At 51.2% G+C, this 18,551-nt stretch overlaps 1 protein-coding gene across 4 annotated transcripts in view, besides 1 other annotated feature; it reads left to right on the top strand.

Annotated features, from left to right (window-relative positions):
* The window catches only part of CDH22 (cadherin 22), a 134,760-nt gene extending 128,454 nt beyond the window's left edge, over positions 1-6,306 (top strand). For all 4 annotated transcript variants that reach the window (XM_024451966.2, XM_047440373.1, NM_021248.3 and 1 more), the window contains 2 exons: positions 1,848-2,099; positions 4,968-6,306. In XM_024451966.2, the coding sequence (XP_024307734.1) occupies positions 1,848-2,099; positions 4,968-5,539 (824 nt within the window). In that variant the 3' untranslated portion in view covers positions 5,540-6,306. The remainder of the gene's footprint in view (positions 1-1,847; positions 2,100-4,967) is intronic.
* Positions 5,422-5,471: a silencer, noted in NCBI's record as "silent region_12973". NCBI's record gives its function as "represses an Ori minimal core promoter by ATAC-STARR-seq in GM12878 lymphoblastoid cells {active_cell/tissue: GM12878}" and the evidence as "EXISTENCE:reporter gene assay evidence [ECO:0000049][PMID:35858748]".
* Positions 6,307-18,551: the final 12,245 nt, after the last annotated feature.

Genomic DNA, 18,551 nt, shown 5'->3' with positions numbered 1-18,551 from the left:
GAGCGGGGAGCCATAAATCCTTCCTTCCCAGGGAAGCGGAGAAAGGAGGCCACAAGAAAGGAGGTGACATTTAGCTGGAGCATGACGGATGAGGAATTTGCCCAGGCAAGAAGGTGAAGAGGGTGTTCCAGAGAGCAGGAACTTTATGAGGAAAGGCAGGGCGGCCTAGACAGGGAGCCGGCAGCGGGTGCAGCACAGGGAAGATGGGGGCGGGGTCTGAAAAAATATTAATCAGCATTATTGAGCATTTCTATGGGCTGGGAACTTTTCTAAGGGTTATGTGTGAATTACACCATTTAATCCTCACACCTGCATGATACCCTTTCTGAGTTTACAGATGGGTAAACTGAAGCTTAGAGAAGCTCAGTGGGTTTCCCCAGCTAGTAAATGATAGACTTGCATTATTTTTCAACATTTTAATGGAAATTCTCAAATGTGTGTAAAAGGAGATAGGCTAATGGAATGAACCCTCATGTTCCCGGCACCTCGTGGGCAGCCTCCAACTCACAGCCAGTCGTGCTGCATCTGGACCTGCAGTCCACTTCTGAGATGTGCCAAAGGCCACAAGTCAGACCTTCGTAGGGCTCCTTTTCCTGCATAGCATCCATGATGAGAAAGGCCAGATCTGGGACACTGAATTGGGGTCGTCTGGGGAAGGAGCTGGGTTAACTGGGGCCACGAAGCAGGGTAAGGAACCCAGGCTGCCAACAGATCTCCCAGATCTGGCTCTCAGATTAGAAACAGCAGACTGAAGACCGCGGGGAGAAGGAGGACTGAAGGCCCCCAGCAGGAATGCAGGGCCCCCTTTGGCAGAGTTGGCTGTGAAGGGAGGGGCAGCAGCCTTCGGAGCTCTGGGCACTTCGTACCCCTGCATGTGCAGAACTGAGAGAGGCCATCAAAATGACAGAGGGTCAGGTGGCCTGACTCCTACAGAACAGGTGTGAAGGAGGCAGAAAGGGCGGAGAAGGGGGTGCCACCTGTCACCTCAGCCTGTGCTCCAAGGCCAGCCACCATCCCCCTGCGTCCTGCCTGGCTTCCCCGGTGACAGGCTGAACCAGTGCCATGAGTTCCATTTGTGTTTGTTCACTGTCCTCTCTGGCCGCCTATGTGAAAAGGAAAGATGTGGAGAAGGCCTCAATGCTCCAGGGCCCCTCATCAGGCCCCTCACCACGCCCCCAGCCCTCTAGGCTCAGCCTCTTAGGCAGAGACTCCTTGTCAGGCTCCAGGACTCTCAACTGGCCTTGGGGTATGAAGGACAGAAAGATCCCACAGCCAAAGGCAGATGCCAGCCAGAGTTCCCAGTCCCTTCTGAGGACCCAGGACTTGTCAGGGCCCAACAAACCACAACCCAAGGACCCTATAGGATTCCTAGGGTCAGAATACGCTGGGAAGCTGGGGTGGAATCTAGAGCAAAAACAAGCTGTTGAGACAAATGGCAAAAAAAAAAAAAAAAAAAAAGACAACGCCAGGGACAGGACCTTGGCCTAGCTGGGGACGGAATCTGGGAATAGCTGGGGACCTTGGCACAGCTGAGGACAAAATCTTAGAATAGCTGAAAACAGAATCTTGGGATGGTTTGAGGACAGAATTGTGGGCTACATGGGGACAGGATTTTGGGCAGCTGAGGGTAGACTTTGGGGGACAGAATCTTTGGGCAGCATGGGGCAGAATTTGGAGGCATCTGGTAATAGAATTTTGGGAGATCAGAGAAGAGACCCATGAGTCCATTGGGAGGCTGTAGTTTGGGGCATAGGGAGGCAAATCTCACGATGCAATCAGGAGGTGGCTAGGACAAGGATGCTGACCCCCGGCCCCAAGTCACACCGCTCCCCCTTCTTCCGGAACAGACAACACCGCTGCAGTGCACACGCAGCACGTGGGCTTCAACCGGCAGGAGCAGGACGTGTTCTTCCTGCCCATCCTGGTGGTAGACAGTGGGCCGCCCACACTGAGCAGCACAGGCACGCTCACCATCCGCATCTGTGGCTGCGACAGCTCCGGCACCATCCAGTCCTGCAACACCACGGCCTTTGTCATGGCCGCCTCCCTCAGCCCCGGCGCCCTCATCGCCCTCTTGGTCTGCGTTCTCATCCTGGTTGGTGAGTCCATCGAGAGCCACCCAGCCCTGCCTGATTGGCCCCATCCTGGCGTCCTGGGTTTCCTTCCTAACCAGCCCCCATGGGGCCTCAGCTTCCCTCTCCACATGAGGATGGGCTGGCCAAACCATCTCCAAGCTCTAACAAGCAGCCCCCATGAGGAGTCTTCTAAGTGCAGAGCGGCCCCGCCACCAACTCCAGGGATGAGCTCACTGTGGCCCACCCCATTCACGTGTAGCCCAAACCTCACCCTAGCATATTTTTAAAAAATTTTCTCATGTGAATGGTCCTTTTTTAGTCTCTATGTAGGACTTTTAGTAAAAAGGGCTCTTGTGAACCTCACAAGCACATGGCCAGGCATATCATCCCATTTTTCAGATGAAAGCGCTGGGGGTCAGAGAGGTTAGGTGGCTGGTGTAAGGGTACTGGATAATCTTTGGATTTGATATTAGGTCTTCTCACCCTGTGTCCTCTGCTCCTCTAACTACACCACCTGCTATGAATCTAAACTGAGAGCAAAATCTCAAGTCATTGGTGGTGGGGGAGGGGGGCAAAATCTACACTGGTACCAGGCCACTAGCAGCCATTTGCACCCCAAAGTCTCCCCAATGAAGAGGTCAAGTTTCAGAAGCTAACCTGGATTTGAATGGCCATATGCCACCTGTTACAGCTGTAACCACCCAAGTAAAGAAGGGCACTGAGGCCAAAGCTAGAGGAGCTCAAGGGAGGTCCAAGTGCAGATTCCAGCCTTGCTCTGCTCCCTGGGAGATGTCAGCTGCCTCCCCCCGCCCTCACTGGCTGGCACTGGCACGGCCTCTGTCCACCCTCTGAGGACCTGCCTATGGCCAGGCTGTACCTCCTCAGGTCCCAGCAGAGGCCCTGGGCAGGCTCCTCATAGTTGGGAGGTCCCCCTTCTCCCCCCACCCTAGCCCATGGCTCAGAAACCCTTTTTCCAGAGGGTGCACTTTACAGCGGTTTCATTTTCCGAGGCAGTGCAAACAAAGTTCTGCCTAATTGCCCACAAACGAAGAAAGTGCACATCAGTGCTCTAAAGGTGACGGGTGGAATCGCTGATCAGGCCTGGCACATCTGTCGCCCGCCACCCGCAAACCTCACCATCTGCTCCCGCGGGCATCCCCCTCCAGAGCTCCCAGCCTCGGCTCCAGAAGCCATCCATCCATCTTTCCCACTTCTCTCCTGACACCTTCCTTCCCTGTGCCCTCCCTCCGGGCCTGTCCCCAGCTCTCGTGCTCTTCCCTGTCACAAGCCACCTTGTTAGGTGGTGAGCAGGTGCCCTGCCCCATGGCCCTCACAGCCAGCTCTGGCCACTGGAGCTGTTTGGAGGAGCAAGAAGAGTCCAGTGCCCAGCACAGTACCTCGTACATGTCTGTCCATCTGTCAGTCCATCCACCCATCATCATTTACCTATACATCCATCCAGTGAGTTCCTCCCATGTACTAGACACTGAGATTTAGCACTCAACAAAAGAGACTTAGAAGCCCTGAGTAATTGAAAAGTCGGGGTTCCTAACACTGAGGTGGGGGAGACTCGGGGTGGGGAAGGGGGAAAGATTAGTATTTCACCTTTGAACCTGTTAAGTTTGAGATTCGCTTGGTCAACAAGAGGGCGTGTTGAGTAGGAAATTGAATGTACAATCTAGATTTCAGGGGAGAGGTCCAGGCTGGAGGCTGAGATATGGGGATTGTCAGTTTCTAAATGGAACTTTTAAAGCTGTTGAGACCAAAGGAGAGCTCCAAGAGAGGGAGCATGGACACAGAACCGAGGTCTGAATCCTAGGACATCTGAGTTAAGAGAGGCGAGGAGAAACCTGCTTAGAAGATTGAGAATGAGTGATCAGTGAGGTGGGAGGAGGAGGAGAATGTGGAGTCCTGGAAATCAAGTGAAGAAAGCCAAGAGGGGACAAGCATTCATTCACTTACCCAAGTCTCCATCCAACTCTTCCTTTAGTCATTCATTCATTCAACAAGCATGCTTCAAGTGCTTACTGCATGCCAGGCACCAAGATAGAGGAACATTTCCCAGGTCCTAGCTTAGGGTGTGTGTTTTGGGGTGGAGACAGACCTGGTAACACAGCAGGGTCTGGTCTATGACAGAGCTGTGGCTTTCAAACTTGAGCTGCCTCTTCAGGTCTGCAGGTCTTGTTAAAACACAGATTCCCCTCCACTGCCACAAGATCCGTGCCAGGATCCAAGGGTCTGCATTTCTAACAAGCTCCCAGGAGGATGTTGCTGTTGCCCAGGGGCCGCACTTTGAGAACCAGTATGATAGAGGAAGGAGCCCCGTCCTGGGGAATCTTGCAGGGGAAGGCATGGAACCTGGCCTGCAGCTCTCAGGGAAGGGTTCCTGCAGGCCTTGACCTGAGAACCAAAGGATTGAGTAGGAGCTCAAGACTTCTGGTGTGGCAGAGGAGGGTGAGGGTGAAAGAGAGGTCAGGGTGAAGGACATCTTTCACTCCTCCAGCTCCTTCTGTTTCTCAGCTGCCTGCTACAGACCCCCAGCACCTAGAGTCCTCAGAGAGTGTATCTCTTCATAGGGCTGAGAAGGGAGACCTCAGGCCTCAACACCCAGGAAAACCTTTAACACTGCTCTCCCATTGGCCACCTCCACCCCAGAGTAATCTAGCCTCGATTTGCATACCTCCCGAGATGGGTAGCTCACTACCTCTCCAGACACTCAGCTCAGTTCTGATTGCAAGAATGGCTTTTTGAACAGAAATCCAGGAAATCTGTAGGAATGTTGAGGCTGGGCCCGCTCTGCTGGGTGGGAGGCGGGAGGAGATGGGGTAGAGGGTCCTTCTAATGCCCTGGGAGGGGCTTGGCCCTCAGTTGCCCCCTCTGTCCCCCTCGCAGTGCTGGTGCTGCTGATCCTCACCCTCAGGCGCCACCACAAGAGCCACCTGAGCTCGGACGAGGATGAAGACATGCGGGACAACGTCATCAAATACAACGACGAAGGCGGCGGCGAGCAGGACACCGAAGCCTACGACATGTCGGCGCTGCGGAGCCTCTACGACTTCGGCGAGCTCAAGGGCGGCGACGGGGGCGGCAGCGCGGGCGGGGGAGCGGGCGGGGGCTCGGGCGGGGGCGCGGGCAGCCCCCCGCAGGCCCACCTGCCCTCCGAGCGCCACTCGCTGCCGCAGGGGCCGCCGAGCCCCGAGCCAGACTTCTCAGTGTTCAGGGACTTCATCAGCCGCAAGGTGGCACTGGCGGACGGGGACCTGTCGGTGCCGCCCTACGACGCCTTCCAGACCTACGCCTTCGAGGGCGCGGACTCGCCGGCCGCCTCGCTCAGCTCCCTGCACAGCGGCTCGTCGGGCTCCGAGCAGGACTTCGCCTATCTCAGCAGCTGGGGTCCGCGCTTCCGGCCCCTGGCCGCGCTCTACGCCGGCCACCGCGGGGACGACGAGGCCCAGGCCTCCTAGCCCCTCGCCCTGCCGTCGGGGCGCGGCTGCTCACCCGCCCAGCACACGCCGGGGCCCCAGGACAACGCGTTTCCCCCGCGGACCCCCTTTCCTGCCCTCCCCCAACCCTCCCTTGGCGGCTGGACGGAGGGGGGACTTGCTAGGAGCGGACTCTTCCATTCCTCCTCCTCTAGGGGTGCAGCTTTGGAGCCCAGAGGTGCGGGATTCTGACCAACGGCATTAAAACTGAGGCGAGACCGGGCACGGTGTGGCTCTGGGGTTAGAATGGGAGATGGGGGTGGCGTTGCAGAGTCGGGAAGGGGCGGGTCACTCAATCCTGGCCTGGGGGAGAATGCTGGAGGGAGCACGCCGCTGAGATGCCCCCACCCCAGGTTTCCCCCATCAGAGTTAAGAGGAAAGAAGGCTGTTCACTTACTAAGCACCTACTGTGTGCTGGGACGCTGTACAGAGACCAGCTCAGTCGTCAGAGAAACCATGAGGTGGTGTCCTGCACGGAATAGAAGGGGAAAGGACCCCAGAGAAGTGGCTGTGACCCGTCCAAGGGCACCTGGCCAGTGAATGGCAGAGCCTCTGGCACTGACCAGCTGCCTGGCCTCGGGCAAGTCACTTCACTTCTCTGGTCCTCAGTTTCCTCATCTGTCAAATGGGGTTAATAACAGAACCTACCTCGAAGAGTTGTGAGGCTAAAAAGGGTTCATATGTGTCAAGTGGTTAGGACAGTGCCTGGCACATAGTAGGTGTTCAATAAATGCTAGCCTTTGTTACTATTCTTATCTTTGTGGTTCTTAGAAGCCCAGTGTGTCTGCCTCCAAGGTCTGAGCTCTCTCCCTTGCTCCAGATGCCCTTCCCCTTTTCCCTACATCTCCCAGGGGAGGGGAAAAGGTTGCAGTTGTCGGCTCCTGATCCTGCCCTGCATGGGGGATAAGGACACTCCCGGCAACTGCGGAGCCTTCAGGAGTCTCAGACCACACTGAAATACCAGCGGAGCCAAGCAAGAACAAGCTGGGTGACTCCAGGACTTGAGTGGATGCAAGGATTGGCAGGAGACAGAGGGGTCAGAAACCACTGGGCAAGATGGGGGGACCTTATCTGTCTGGCTTTGGAACCCATCAGTCTTCCCACTCATGGATCCCAAATTAAGAACCCCTGGACTAAGTCACCTGAAGAGTTTCCAGCTCTAAAACCATATGATTATAAGATACGGTTATTTGTCCTCCCACCTCCCCCCACGCCCAAGTGATTCATTCATTCCACATTGATCCAACATGAATTCCAGCTCCTGCTAGCTGGGCATCCTTCATCAAGGTCCTCCACTGCTGAAGCCTCAGTTGCCTTATCTGTAAAATGGGGATAATGATAGTCTCTTCCTTAAAGGATTATTAAAAGTCTTAAAGGAGATAGTGGATGTTAAGCTCTGAACTCAGTGCCTTCCTGACATGTGGAAAGTTCCCAATAAATGCTTATTAGCCTTATTTTTCTTACCCTCCCAGGGAGCTCTCATTCATTCCCTCCACATTTGCCAAGGTCCACTGTGATAGATCCAGAGATGGCTAGTATGTCCCAGTGCCTTACCTGCATTATTTTTTCTCATTTAGGTACTGTCAGCCCCAGTTCACAGATGAGGAAACTGAGGCTAAGAGAGTAGTAAACTGCCAAGGGTTACATAGATGATAGGTAATTCCTCCCTTCCGGTAGCCCAAGACGTAAGTTGGAGGAAGGAAGTGGATCAGGGAGCTGAAGCAGCCAAAAATAATGTGTTTGGTAAGAATTGTAGCAGAATTAACAGAATAAGATCCTGGAAGCACTAAAGAAAGACTGAGTAATCCTGGAGGGCTTCCCAGAGGAAGTAACTTCAACTGGGTCTCGAAGAATGAGTATGGGATGTGAGGTGGCCATGCGAGCAAGAGTATTCCAAGCAGAGAGAAGAGCATCTGCAAAGGCTGGGGGTGGGGAGAAGGTAAGAAGTGTGTGGCAGCTTCGGGAAGGGTTTTTGGCCCTGGGGGCTGGATCGCAGGGTGGAGGAGTGGTGGGAGGTGAGGCAGGGAAGGCTGGTTGGAGGTAGTTGTGAAAAGAACTTGAAGGCCAGGTTAAGGAGCTTGATAACTTGCTCAACTTGAATATGCCTTCTAAAGTCCATTGAGAGTGGCCAGTGGCAGGGATGTGGGGTTAGCATGGTAAGCCCAAGTGGAGGGATATTTGGGAACCCCCAAATCATCCTATGTGGGACCTTTAACCCATGGTTCCTATAGCTCATGCTACAAATGGGCATGGTAACTTGGAGACCCGTGGGGAGATGTGCAGCCACCTCTCTCAGCCCCGTGTGCCCAGCTCTCACATACAGAAGCCCAACAGCATTTCTGAGGTTGGTTGCCAGCTCCATTGTAGAAAGGGGAAACTGAAACTCAGGGGAATAAAGTGGCTGGTTCAAGGTCTCCCAGCTAGTATGGGACAGAGCAAAGGCGGCACAGGTTCCCCCGACTCCAAGCCTGTCCCTTCCACATGCACTGGTTGCCTTAGCAGATACTGACCCTGCCAAGAAGGAGGTCACAGGCAGATTATATGTCCAGAGGGACACACGGACATGAAGTCATAGGTCCCTTGAACATCCTGTCTAAACCTCACACATGGAGAATTACTTACCCAAGGTCACACAGAGTCAAAGATCTTGCCAGAAATAAAGAACATTATTTATCCAGATTTGCCTTCTGAGCCTTTGGCTCTACGATTTACCCACCATATGATTTCTCTTTTTTCTTTCTTTCTTTATTTTTCTTTCTCTCTTTCTTTCTCTCTCTTTCTCTTTCTTTTTCTTTCTCCTTCCTTCCTTTCTTTCCTTCTTTCTTTCTCTTTCTTTCTCTTTCTTTCTCTCCCTCCCTCTCTCTCTTCTTTCTTTCCTTCCTTCCTTCTTTCTTTCTTTCTTTCCTTTTCTTTCTTTCTTTCTTTTTCTTTCTTTCTTTCTCTCTTTCCAGGGTCTTGCTCTGTCGCCCAGCTGGAGTGCAATGGCACAATCATGGCTCACTGCAGCCTCAATATACCAGGCTCAACCAATCCTCTCACCTCAGCCCCCCAGGTAGTTGGGACTGCAGACATGCACCATCACACCTAGCTAATTTTTTGTAGAGATGGCGTCTTGCTATGCTGCCGAGGCTGGTCTCAAACTCCTGGGCTCAAGTGATCCTCCCGCTTTGGCCTCCCAAAGTGCTGGGATTACAAGCATGAGGCACCACGCCCGGCCATTGTGTGACTTCAGACAAGTTATTTACCCTCTGTGTGCCTCAGTTTTCTTATCCATAAAGTGCATATGCTCAGACCACCTACTTCATAGGGTTGCAATAAGGATAAAACGCAATAGCAACAGCTGACACTTACTGAGCATTTTACATAAATTAACGCATTTAATCCCACAACAACGCAATGAGGCAGCCCTCGTTTTACAGGTGAGAAAACTGAGGCACAAGGAGGTTAAGTAACTTGTGCAAGATCAAATGACAAATAACTGGAGATGCTGAGATTTAAACCCGGGTGCTCTGACCCCCAGAACCTACCCCGTCAGCAGTACATACAGTGTCCAGCACACAGGAAGCCCCAAACATATGCTTGGGTGTATCCAAAAGTCCCTGTCTGTGCTCTGGGAGAGCTCATTCCTCTACCCGCCACTGCATTCCACAGCCTGTAGAAGTCCTCAAGCGCCCCGTGATTTCTGCTAGTTCCAGAGTGGGGTGTGGAGGAAAAGGTAATGATCCCTCGATCCCCTTTGCTTCCAGCTCCTGCATCCACACTTGCTGTCTCCACTGGGTGCTGAGCCATCCCAGAGTGAAATCCAGTGAGTCCTGCCCTTTCACTGGGTTGCACAAGGTGTCTACTCATGCCAAGCATTTGTGAGTTTTTCTGATGACTTGGGGTCACAGAGCAGGGTTTTATGGGACGCACAGCCTTTGGTCATCTGTCTCATTGATTCCCACCAGGTTCCCCAAGAGTTCCACATGCTGTGTTAGGCAGAAAATACAACCATGCCAGCTCCAAGCTCCAAATGAGCAAACCCAGCTCTATCAAGGAGCTTAGAAAATAAAGAGCCTCCCATTTACTATTCCTGACCTTCTTACAAGGCATCTAGGAAGATGAAAAGAAAAATATTCCCCTTTTGTTGTCATCATCATCATCATTATCATGGGATAAAAGAGTATTCAGGGTCTTGAGCAAGAATTGATGTGCAATTGGCCAAGGATTTCAGAACCAGGGATATTAATAACAACGACGATGATAGTAGTGATGACGGTGACAGCACACTTATATAGCATTGCAGCATGCCAGGCCCTGTTCTCAGCACCATACATAATTAATACTAAGATAGGTAAATCTCATGGAGAATGGACGCTGTGTTTACTGTGTTTAGTGCTTTTACATAATTTGCCTTGTTTAATTTTAAGCAGGTGCTTTCATTAGGCCTGTTTTATGAGGATGAGATGAGGAACCCAGGGCTCACAGATGAACCATGCTTTGCCCAAGGGCATGAAGCCTTTAAAGGCCTGAAATGATTTCACACTCCCACACGCCACGGCTCTGCACAGGGCCTAGATGACTCTGATTGTGAGTGAAGTTTCTGGGAGAACAGAGAAGCATGTTGGTGAGAAGGGGAGGCACTTCAGGGGATGGCAGAGCTGGGAGCAAGATGGACAGAGGGGCCTAGCTGGCTAGCCACTGTCCAAGCCTGGGTCTGTGTCTCTGGTGTGTGTGTGTGTGTCCTCATGTGGCTGTGGACAAGCACCAGGGAGGTGGGAAGCCAGCATTGAGCAGCACAGGTCAAGAACTAAACTCCCACCTCCTGATTCAGGCAGCTCAGAGAGCTGGCTGCTGTCATACAGGGTGTCTAAGCGCCTGCATCCATCAGCCAGCCGTCATCACAGCCCACCCCCAGGTCACAAATCAGCAGCTCCACTCACCTCCTGCCAGCAAGCACTCCCAGGCCAGCTCTGTCACTGGTCGCTGAGCTTTTGGAAAATGCAACCCTGTCAGCCCTCACTCTGAGGCGAGACGGCTCACGTTCCAGCGTGTGCATGAGCATGCCAGCACATGATGCATGCACAGGTTGTACCCACAGACATGTTCGCACCTGTGGGCACAATGCAGACATGTTCACAGCGATACACACAGAGCATATCCCTGCAGGTCTGCAAATGTGGACACATGCCAGCATGCTATGCGTGCATGGGAGGCAAGCTCTCATGTGTGCACTCATGTTTGTATTCAGAGCATGCACATGCCTGCCATAGATAAGTTCTCTTACATGCATGTACATGTGTGTCCACTGGTACTCTTCAATAAGCAAACATATTTTCCCATTCAGGCATATATTCATACCCATTCACTAACATATGTGTGTCCCCAGAAACTCCCACTCAAATACATAGCACATATGTGTGCATACCCTCAAATGTACTTCTGTGCATGAACATACAACCCCATGCTCTCATTCTCAGTCATATGCCCATTTGTATGCACGCACAGGAAAGCAAATGTAACCTCAGGAACAGTCCATTACAAACTCCAAATTCAAACGCATGCTCCCATAGATGCATTTGTACATGTGAGGACATAGGTCTGTGTGTATGAACATAATATACACGATCAAGTACAAGCACCTAAACAAACAGCCATCCTCCAACAAATGCTCAGATCTGCACCAAGCACTCACACACATGCAATGGTATATGTGCATCTGCCTGTCTCCATGTAGGTTCCTCAACTTCCAGACAACGTGTCCTCAGGCATTAACCACCTCTGTCCACGTGCACCTTTAGGCAGGCCCAGCACAGTTCACTCATACCCATGCCCCATGTGCCTAACTCAACCCCACAGACAAGCACGCACATAGACACGTGCCTCCAAAGCCCATCTCCCACACGTGTGTGGAGTCAGATCCCTATCATGTGGATGCACACACACCCTCTCTGGGGCACAGCCTGCCCAACCCCAGATAGTCAGGTGTGCTGGGGACAGCAAGAATGATGCCCACACGCAGAAATCGCCAGTCACGCAGAATTGCATCTGCTGCAAACTTCTCATCTGCTGTGCAAATGATGATTAAATGTTATTGTGCAAGAGAAAACAGCAAGGAGGGATTCATTAGCTTTATTGTCAGGAAGGACTCCATGGGCTCCAGCTCCCAACTCCAAGGCTGGCTTAACCCCTTGTGTGCTGGGGGGGTGCCATGCCCAGACGTGGGATTGTGGAAAATGAAGGCCCCAGGGACAGAGATCCCAGTGCTGGGCCCACATGAGCCAACCTGGGTGCAGAGAGCACTGTACAGGGAGTCATAATGTGAGGGAGCCACTCCAACCTTGCCTCTCATTTGCGCGTGTCCCTGGACCCATCATTTCATTCATTCAGCAAATAATCACTCGTCCCTGCCATGTCCCCAGGAATCTAGAGCCACAGGGGCCATGTTCCCTCTGGGTGCATGGGCCTTCTCAGATAGAGAAGGACAGTCTCCCAGGAAAAGAGCTTAAGCAAAGGTTCGGGGGGCTTGGAGACAGCGGAAGCAGTGCAGGGCTTGTTCAGGGAACAAGGACCTAGACAGGTCAGTTGGGGGACAGATTGCAAAGGGCCCAGCAAAGCCTTCCAGAGAGCTCGGGTCTTTTTCTGACAACAGTGGGGAACCATGAAAAGTATATGGATAGGCTGGACAGATAAATTGCAGGGTGCCCAGTTAAATGCAAATTTCAGATAAATAAAAAATAATTTTTCTAGTATTAGTATTCTAAGTATTGCACAGGACATACTTATGCAAAATTACTTATATATTACTTATCTGGAATTTACATTTAACTGGGAATTTTGTATTTTTATTTGCTAAATCTGGCAACCCTATGTATAGATTTGCATTTTAGAAAGATTATCCTGGCTACTTGCCCAAGCTGGATTAGAGGATGAAAGAAATGAGAGGGAGACCAGTGAGGAAGGGAGGAGGTCACAGTCTCACTTTCTTCCTTAATCAGAGAAGCCCCAAATTTTAACCAAGCACATGGCCTTCTATTACAAGGGCCACATTTTCCAGCTTCCTTCACAGCTGTGTATGAACTGTGCATGAACTGAGTCCCAGCCAATACAACCTTAGAAGAATTGTCATGTAGCAGCTTCTGGGACACCTCTTTAAAAGGCTGCTGACTCATGCCCTTTGCCTCTTTTTTACTGTCCCTTTCTTCTTTCTGCTGGCTGAACACAGCTGAGATGGCTGGAGCTCAAGCAGCCACCTTGAGCCATGAGGACAAAGGTCATACCCTATGGATGGACTTGGTTCTTATCAACCTCATAGAGCTACCATACCAGCCCTGAACCTCTCCCATCTCCAGACTTGGCTCACATAAGAGACAAATAAACTTCCAACTTGTCAAAGTCTCTGTCACTTTGGTCTTTTGTCTCAAGCAGCCAAACCTCATTCTAGCTGATATGAAAGGCTGACACAGGACCCTCAGAGAGAGACATTGAGGCTTAAACTGGGTCAGTGGATCTGAGAAATAGTTTAGAAGAAAGAGCCAGCAGGAGTTGGCAATTGACCGCGTGTGGGGATGGTGGGTAGAGGAGGTCAAAGGCTTCAGCCTTTGAGTGACAAGGGCGGCAAAGCTGGTAATGAGCCAGAGAATCCAGGAGAAGCCTTGGTTCTGAGGTCAGGAGAGATCAGTTTGATTTTAGACATGCTGAGTTTGAGGGGCCTGCAGGCCACATGCACAAGATGTGGAAATGCAGGGCTGGAGCTCAGGAGGAGGAGCGGAGACTAAAGTGGTCTTTCTACTCACTGGTGTCTTCAGGAAAGCTGAAGCTGCAAGAGTAGGAGGCACAGGGACAGTGTGTAAAACGATGGGATCCGACAGTCAGGGGTGAGCCCTGTGGAGCACCAGAGGCAGGTGGAGGGAGAAGAGCCACTTGGACCTCCGTTTCTCCAGCTGTGAAATAGGGGCAGCTGAGAGGGGTAACCTAACAGATTCCTAAAGCTCCTTCCTGATCTGGCATTTGTGAATTTTAAGGTGTGATCTTAGACCATTTATTTATCCTCCCTGTGATTCCATTTCCCCTTTGGAAAATGAAGCCAAAATAGCAGCTACCCCATAGAGTTGTTCAGAGGAGGAAGTGGTCCCCCACTAAAGCACCTAGCTTAGCCCTGGCATACAGTAAGAACAAAATAAACAGCAGCTGTTAGGACATGGAAGAGGTGGCATGGTGTAGGGGGAAGGAGGGGTGAGGACAAATCCTCTTTCCCATCCCAAGCCCAGGAAGAGGTTGGAAACCTGGGAATCCTCACTGAGACCTTTAGTGGGCACCTCCTGTATGCAAGGACACAGAGCTATGCAGAGAGAAGAGAAAAATGGGGAGAAAATGTACTTACTTTTGAGAAGGTGATAAAGCCTGGCCTTGCCAGGACAGCTTGAAGGAAGGTGAGATCCGGGGACAGGGAAGGGCTGGGAGAGGGACAGGGGTGGGGTTATCTGAAAGGTCTCCCAAAGGAGGCTACTAAACTGAGGCCTCTAGGGAGGAGTGCTTCAGAGCAGACGGAGCGAAGAGGAGGCCACCGCTGATCACAACACACACATCTGTGAAATGGGTCCATAGGGAGCAGAAGGGCAGTGGGAGGAGAAGCCCTTGAGCACTTCACATCCCCTGGATTCATGTCCTAGGGCTGCTGTAATAAAGCACCATCAACTGAGTGGCTTAAACAACAGCACCAAATGATCTCCCAGGCCTGGAGGCTTGGAAGTCTGATATCCAGGTGCCAGCAGGGCGGTGAGAAAGAATCTGTTCCAGGCCTCTCTCCTAGGCTTACAAATGGCCATCTTCTCTCTGTGTCTCTTAACATCGTCTTCCCTCAACACATCTGTGTCTGGGTCCAAATTTCTCCTTTTTATTTATTTTTATTTATTTATTTATTTATTTATTTATTTATTGAGATGGAGTTTCACTCTTGTTGCCCAGGCTGGAGTGCACTGGCGCGACCTCGGCTCACTGCAACCTCCGCCTCCCAGGTTCAAGCGATCCTGCTGCCTCAGCCTCCCGAGTAGCTGGGATTACAAGTACCTGCCACCACGCCTGGCTAATTTTTGTGTTTTTAGTAGAGACAGGGTTTCGCTATTGGCTAGGCTTGTCTCAAACTCCTGACCTCAGGTGATCCACCTGCCTCGGCCTCCCAAAGTGCTGGGATTACAGGCGTGAGCCACCGTGCCTGGCCCAAATTTTCCCTTTTATAAGGACACAAGTCATATTGGATTAGCAGCCTATCCGACCCTAGGATAACCTCATCTTAGCCATGTACATCTGCAACGATCCTATTTCCAAACAAGGTCACGTTCTCATGTACAACTACTTCAGGAATTCAACATATGAATTTTAGGGGGACACAACTCAACCCATGGCATTCCCCATTCCAGGCTCAGCACCAGCTCACAGACCCCTCATCAGGCTCCCTAATGGGGAGTCTTCCCATTTTTTGTGGAAGCTTGTACTCAGGTGTGGTCAGAGGGAGGAGGCCTTGGAATTCTGATCACCAGCTGGGATGGGGATGGGATGGAGAACAGTTTTCTCCCTACCTCTTCCCTCCTAACCACTGATTCACTGAGACCCTCACATTTAACCACACACACACACACACACACACACACACACTACTCAGAGAAAACCAGAGACCCACGTATATATGTGAAGTCTCACACAAGGACACACACACTCAAAGCAGAACCCTCACACACAAAGACACATGCAGAGTCATATACATAGACACACATGCTCACAGACATGGAGATATGCATTGACGCAGACCACAACTCACACACATTCCCAGACACACAGATGCATGCTAGCACACCCACGCAGGCACAATGACAGCCACATAGAAGGATGCACAGGGACACATCTGCGTTCTCATAATCACACACACAACACAGACATGCTTGTTTGCATTCTCATGGGCAAATACACCCGCCCACAAAGATGCAAAACACACAGTCACAGGCATTCACGAGCACGCAGCCTCACACAGATACATGAGGCCGCTTGCATACACAGGGCTTCTTAATCCCGTTGTGGTTGTCAGATCCTGGCATCCATGCACCATCCCCCTGGCCTCACAGCTCACTGCTTACTCTCTGGTAATTGGAGGCAATTTAATCCCCATCCCACCCAGCCAATCACAGGCCCCACAGAGCAGGCAACCATCAAAATGCCCCACCACAAGGGCAATGAGGCAGAGAGCCTTCTCCCAACTCCAGTTTCCCCTTCCACCTTTGCTGTTGAGATGGAATTTATAAACCTAGACAACCACACACACACACACACACACACACACATACAATCAAATACTATTCACAGAACCATACACAATTGTCCACACACACAACTACACATATGGGCACAGGAAGATCATGTACACACATGTACGCCATAGAAAAGACTGCAAGAGATAGATGGTGTCTATCTATACAGGTACACGCAGTCTCACGGTCAGTTAGTGAAAATGTGTGTACACCATGCAAGCAGTTCTACTAATGAGTGTAGACTCACGGAGAACATGATGGAGATGGAGATGAAGAACACACATACAACAGCCACACACAGATCTCCAGCTGTGCTTAGTGAACTCCCTCCCAGGGTGTCTGAGCCTTTGTGCACACCGAAGAGGAAGTGTACAGGCACAGAGACATTGCCACATGTGCACACATGCATGCACACATCACACGCACAGGACCCCTCAAAGCCCACTCCGTGTCCCCACAGAGGCCCATGGTCCTCACCTGCTGAACCCAGAGATGGCCCAGTTCCCCAGGCTGATTTCCCAGGGGAAGGGGGGGGGGCCACAGCCCCACCTGTCAACCTGCTATTTGTCACTCCATCACGGCCAGTGCGCTGACATTCAGAGCCCAGCACTGAGATGATCACATTTAGCTGTAATGTACCACAGACTGCACTGACATTTGGAAAATATTCCACCTCGGGACCCATTTGACTTCAAACTTTTTCCTGGAAGAGGAGAGAAGCAGCAGCAAGGACCTGCAATATTCTCAGCTTCCCAGGAGCTGAGAATCTGGGCCTCACCTGCCAAAGACCCGGGTATCCTGGCTGCTCCTTCTGCAGCTACCTGGAGACAGGGGGATGAGGAAGAGGAGTAGAGGCTCCCAAGGATGAAGTTCCGTATCATACATCAAGTCTTTACAGAAGATTCATTGGGAGTCCCCCATGTTTGGGGCCTGGCGATATCCACCTGCTGTCAATGGCACACCCACTAAGCGCCAGGCCTTGCTTTCAGCATGTCACATACAAGATCTCATTTGGCAATGGTAATGTGAGCTAGGAACTGTTATCATCCCATGTGAACAATGAAATCTCAGAGAGGTAAAGTGACTTGCCCAAGGTCACCAAGCTAGGAAGGAGTAGAGCTGAGATTTAACCCCAAGTCTGTCTGGCTCCGGAACCTGCCCTTTTTGCACTCCACAAAATGTGTCGCAGAGTCAGGCAAATGCTGACTCCTTCCCCGGGGCCACTCACCACCTTTTCTCTTCTCCCTTTCCCCTCTCAGGCTTCCTTTCTCTCCTCTCATTTCCCATCCTCTCTGCCTCAGTAAGCAGGACTAGTGCTTAGTCTGGGATAGCTTCCTGCAAGGGAAGAGGAGGGGATGGATGAGCAGCACCTGGAAGTCCGGAAGACTGGATGGATAGGATTAGCATCTGCAGAATCAATGTGCAAACCTCGCAGAAAAGACTCTGGAAAATACTGCATTTTAGAATGGAATGGTTGGACTCTTCCTACGTGACAGCTGCAGAGACCCCGGGCTTGGATGCAGGAGACTTGCCTGTAGTGGCCCAGCCCTCCCTGAAGTTGTGCCCACCCAAGATCCAGGCAACAAGGCTATCAGGGTAATCTAATGGCAGCCAGGGACGCCTCCACCCATTCCCCAAAAGAGGAGCTACAGAGAATCCTGCTGAACTAAATGGACTGGGCAATAATAGTGAAAATGTAGACGGAGTGCTAGAGAGTGAGGAAAAGGATATTTCGAAGGCATGGTGAAAATGACATGGCCCCAGCTAATCCAAAAAGAGATAGAAGAGGTAGGAAGGCTGTCCAGATTTCTTATGAGCTGATTAATCTCCTCAAATAAGTCAGAGTCCAACTTCCCAAAAGGCAAAAGAAAGTTAGGTTAATCTACTCTAAATGATTCCTGAGCTTCTCAGGGTGGCAATCAATACCCACACACACTCTCTCTCTCCTCTCTCTCTTCATGAGTAATTCTCAGTAATTACAAGAAAGAGGGTTTTGTGGAAAATGACATTCTAGCTGCAGAGAGAAGCCCAGGCAAAAGAATAAATTGGCCTCCAGTGGGAAGCCAGCCCTTTCAGTGGGGGAGGCTGTGGGACGGCCACCATCATATAATGTCTTGGGCCACAGAGTCCACCATAGGTCTGTCTGCCTGCAAGAGCTTTGAGTGGAAGAAGAAAGGCCAAATGTGGAGGATGAACCAAGATCTCCCACAGAAGCAAAAGGTTTCTACCCACTAGCACCCATCCTTGATGCCCTAGGAGTGACAGTGTCTGTAACTGATGTGCTTGAAGCATATCAATACTTAACACTAATACGTCAAGGATACCATCATCGATGAAAGGATGCTATCATTGATGAAAGGATACTATCATCGTTGAAAGGATACCAATATTGCTGAAAGGATACCAATATTGCTGAAAGGATACCATCACTGATGAAAGTCATCAGTGATGACTTTGGGGGCACCGTAAGCACTCATCACCAGCCTTAGGGCTCCATCACCTTTATTCTCAGGAGTACCCATCAGTGCCCATCCTGAAGGCTGGAGGGGCATCCTCCTGATGCCCCTGAGTAGAGGAACCTTATATTTCTTGATCATCATTGTATAGCCACTAGCCATGGTGGCTGGCACATAACAGAAGCACAGTAAACATCTGTTGAGTAAATGAATGAGTGAGTGAATGTTCTTGGGAAGGATGGACACCTCTTCTTGGTC

This window comes from Homo sapiens, chromosome 20, assembly GCF_000001405.40.
Source record: "Homo sapiens chromosome 20, GRCh38.p14 Primary Assembly".
NCBI classification, from domain to species: Eukaryota; Metazoa; Chordata; class Mammalia; order Primates; family Hominidae; genus Homo; species Homo sapiens.
Note: the sequence above shows the minus strand (reverse complement) of the source record. Positions and strands in the feature narration are given on the sequence as shown.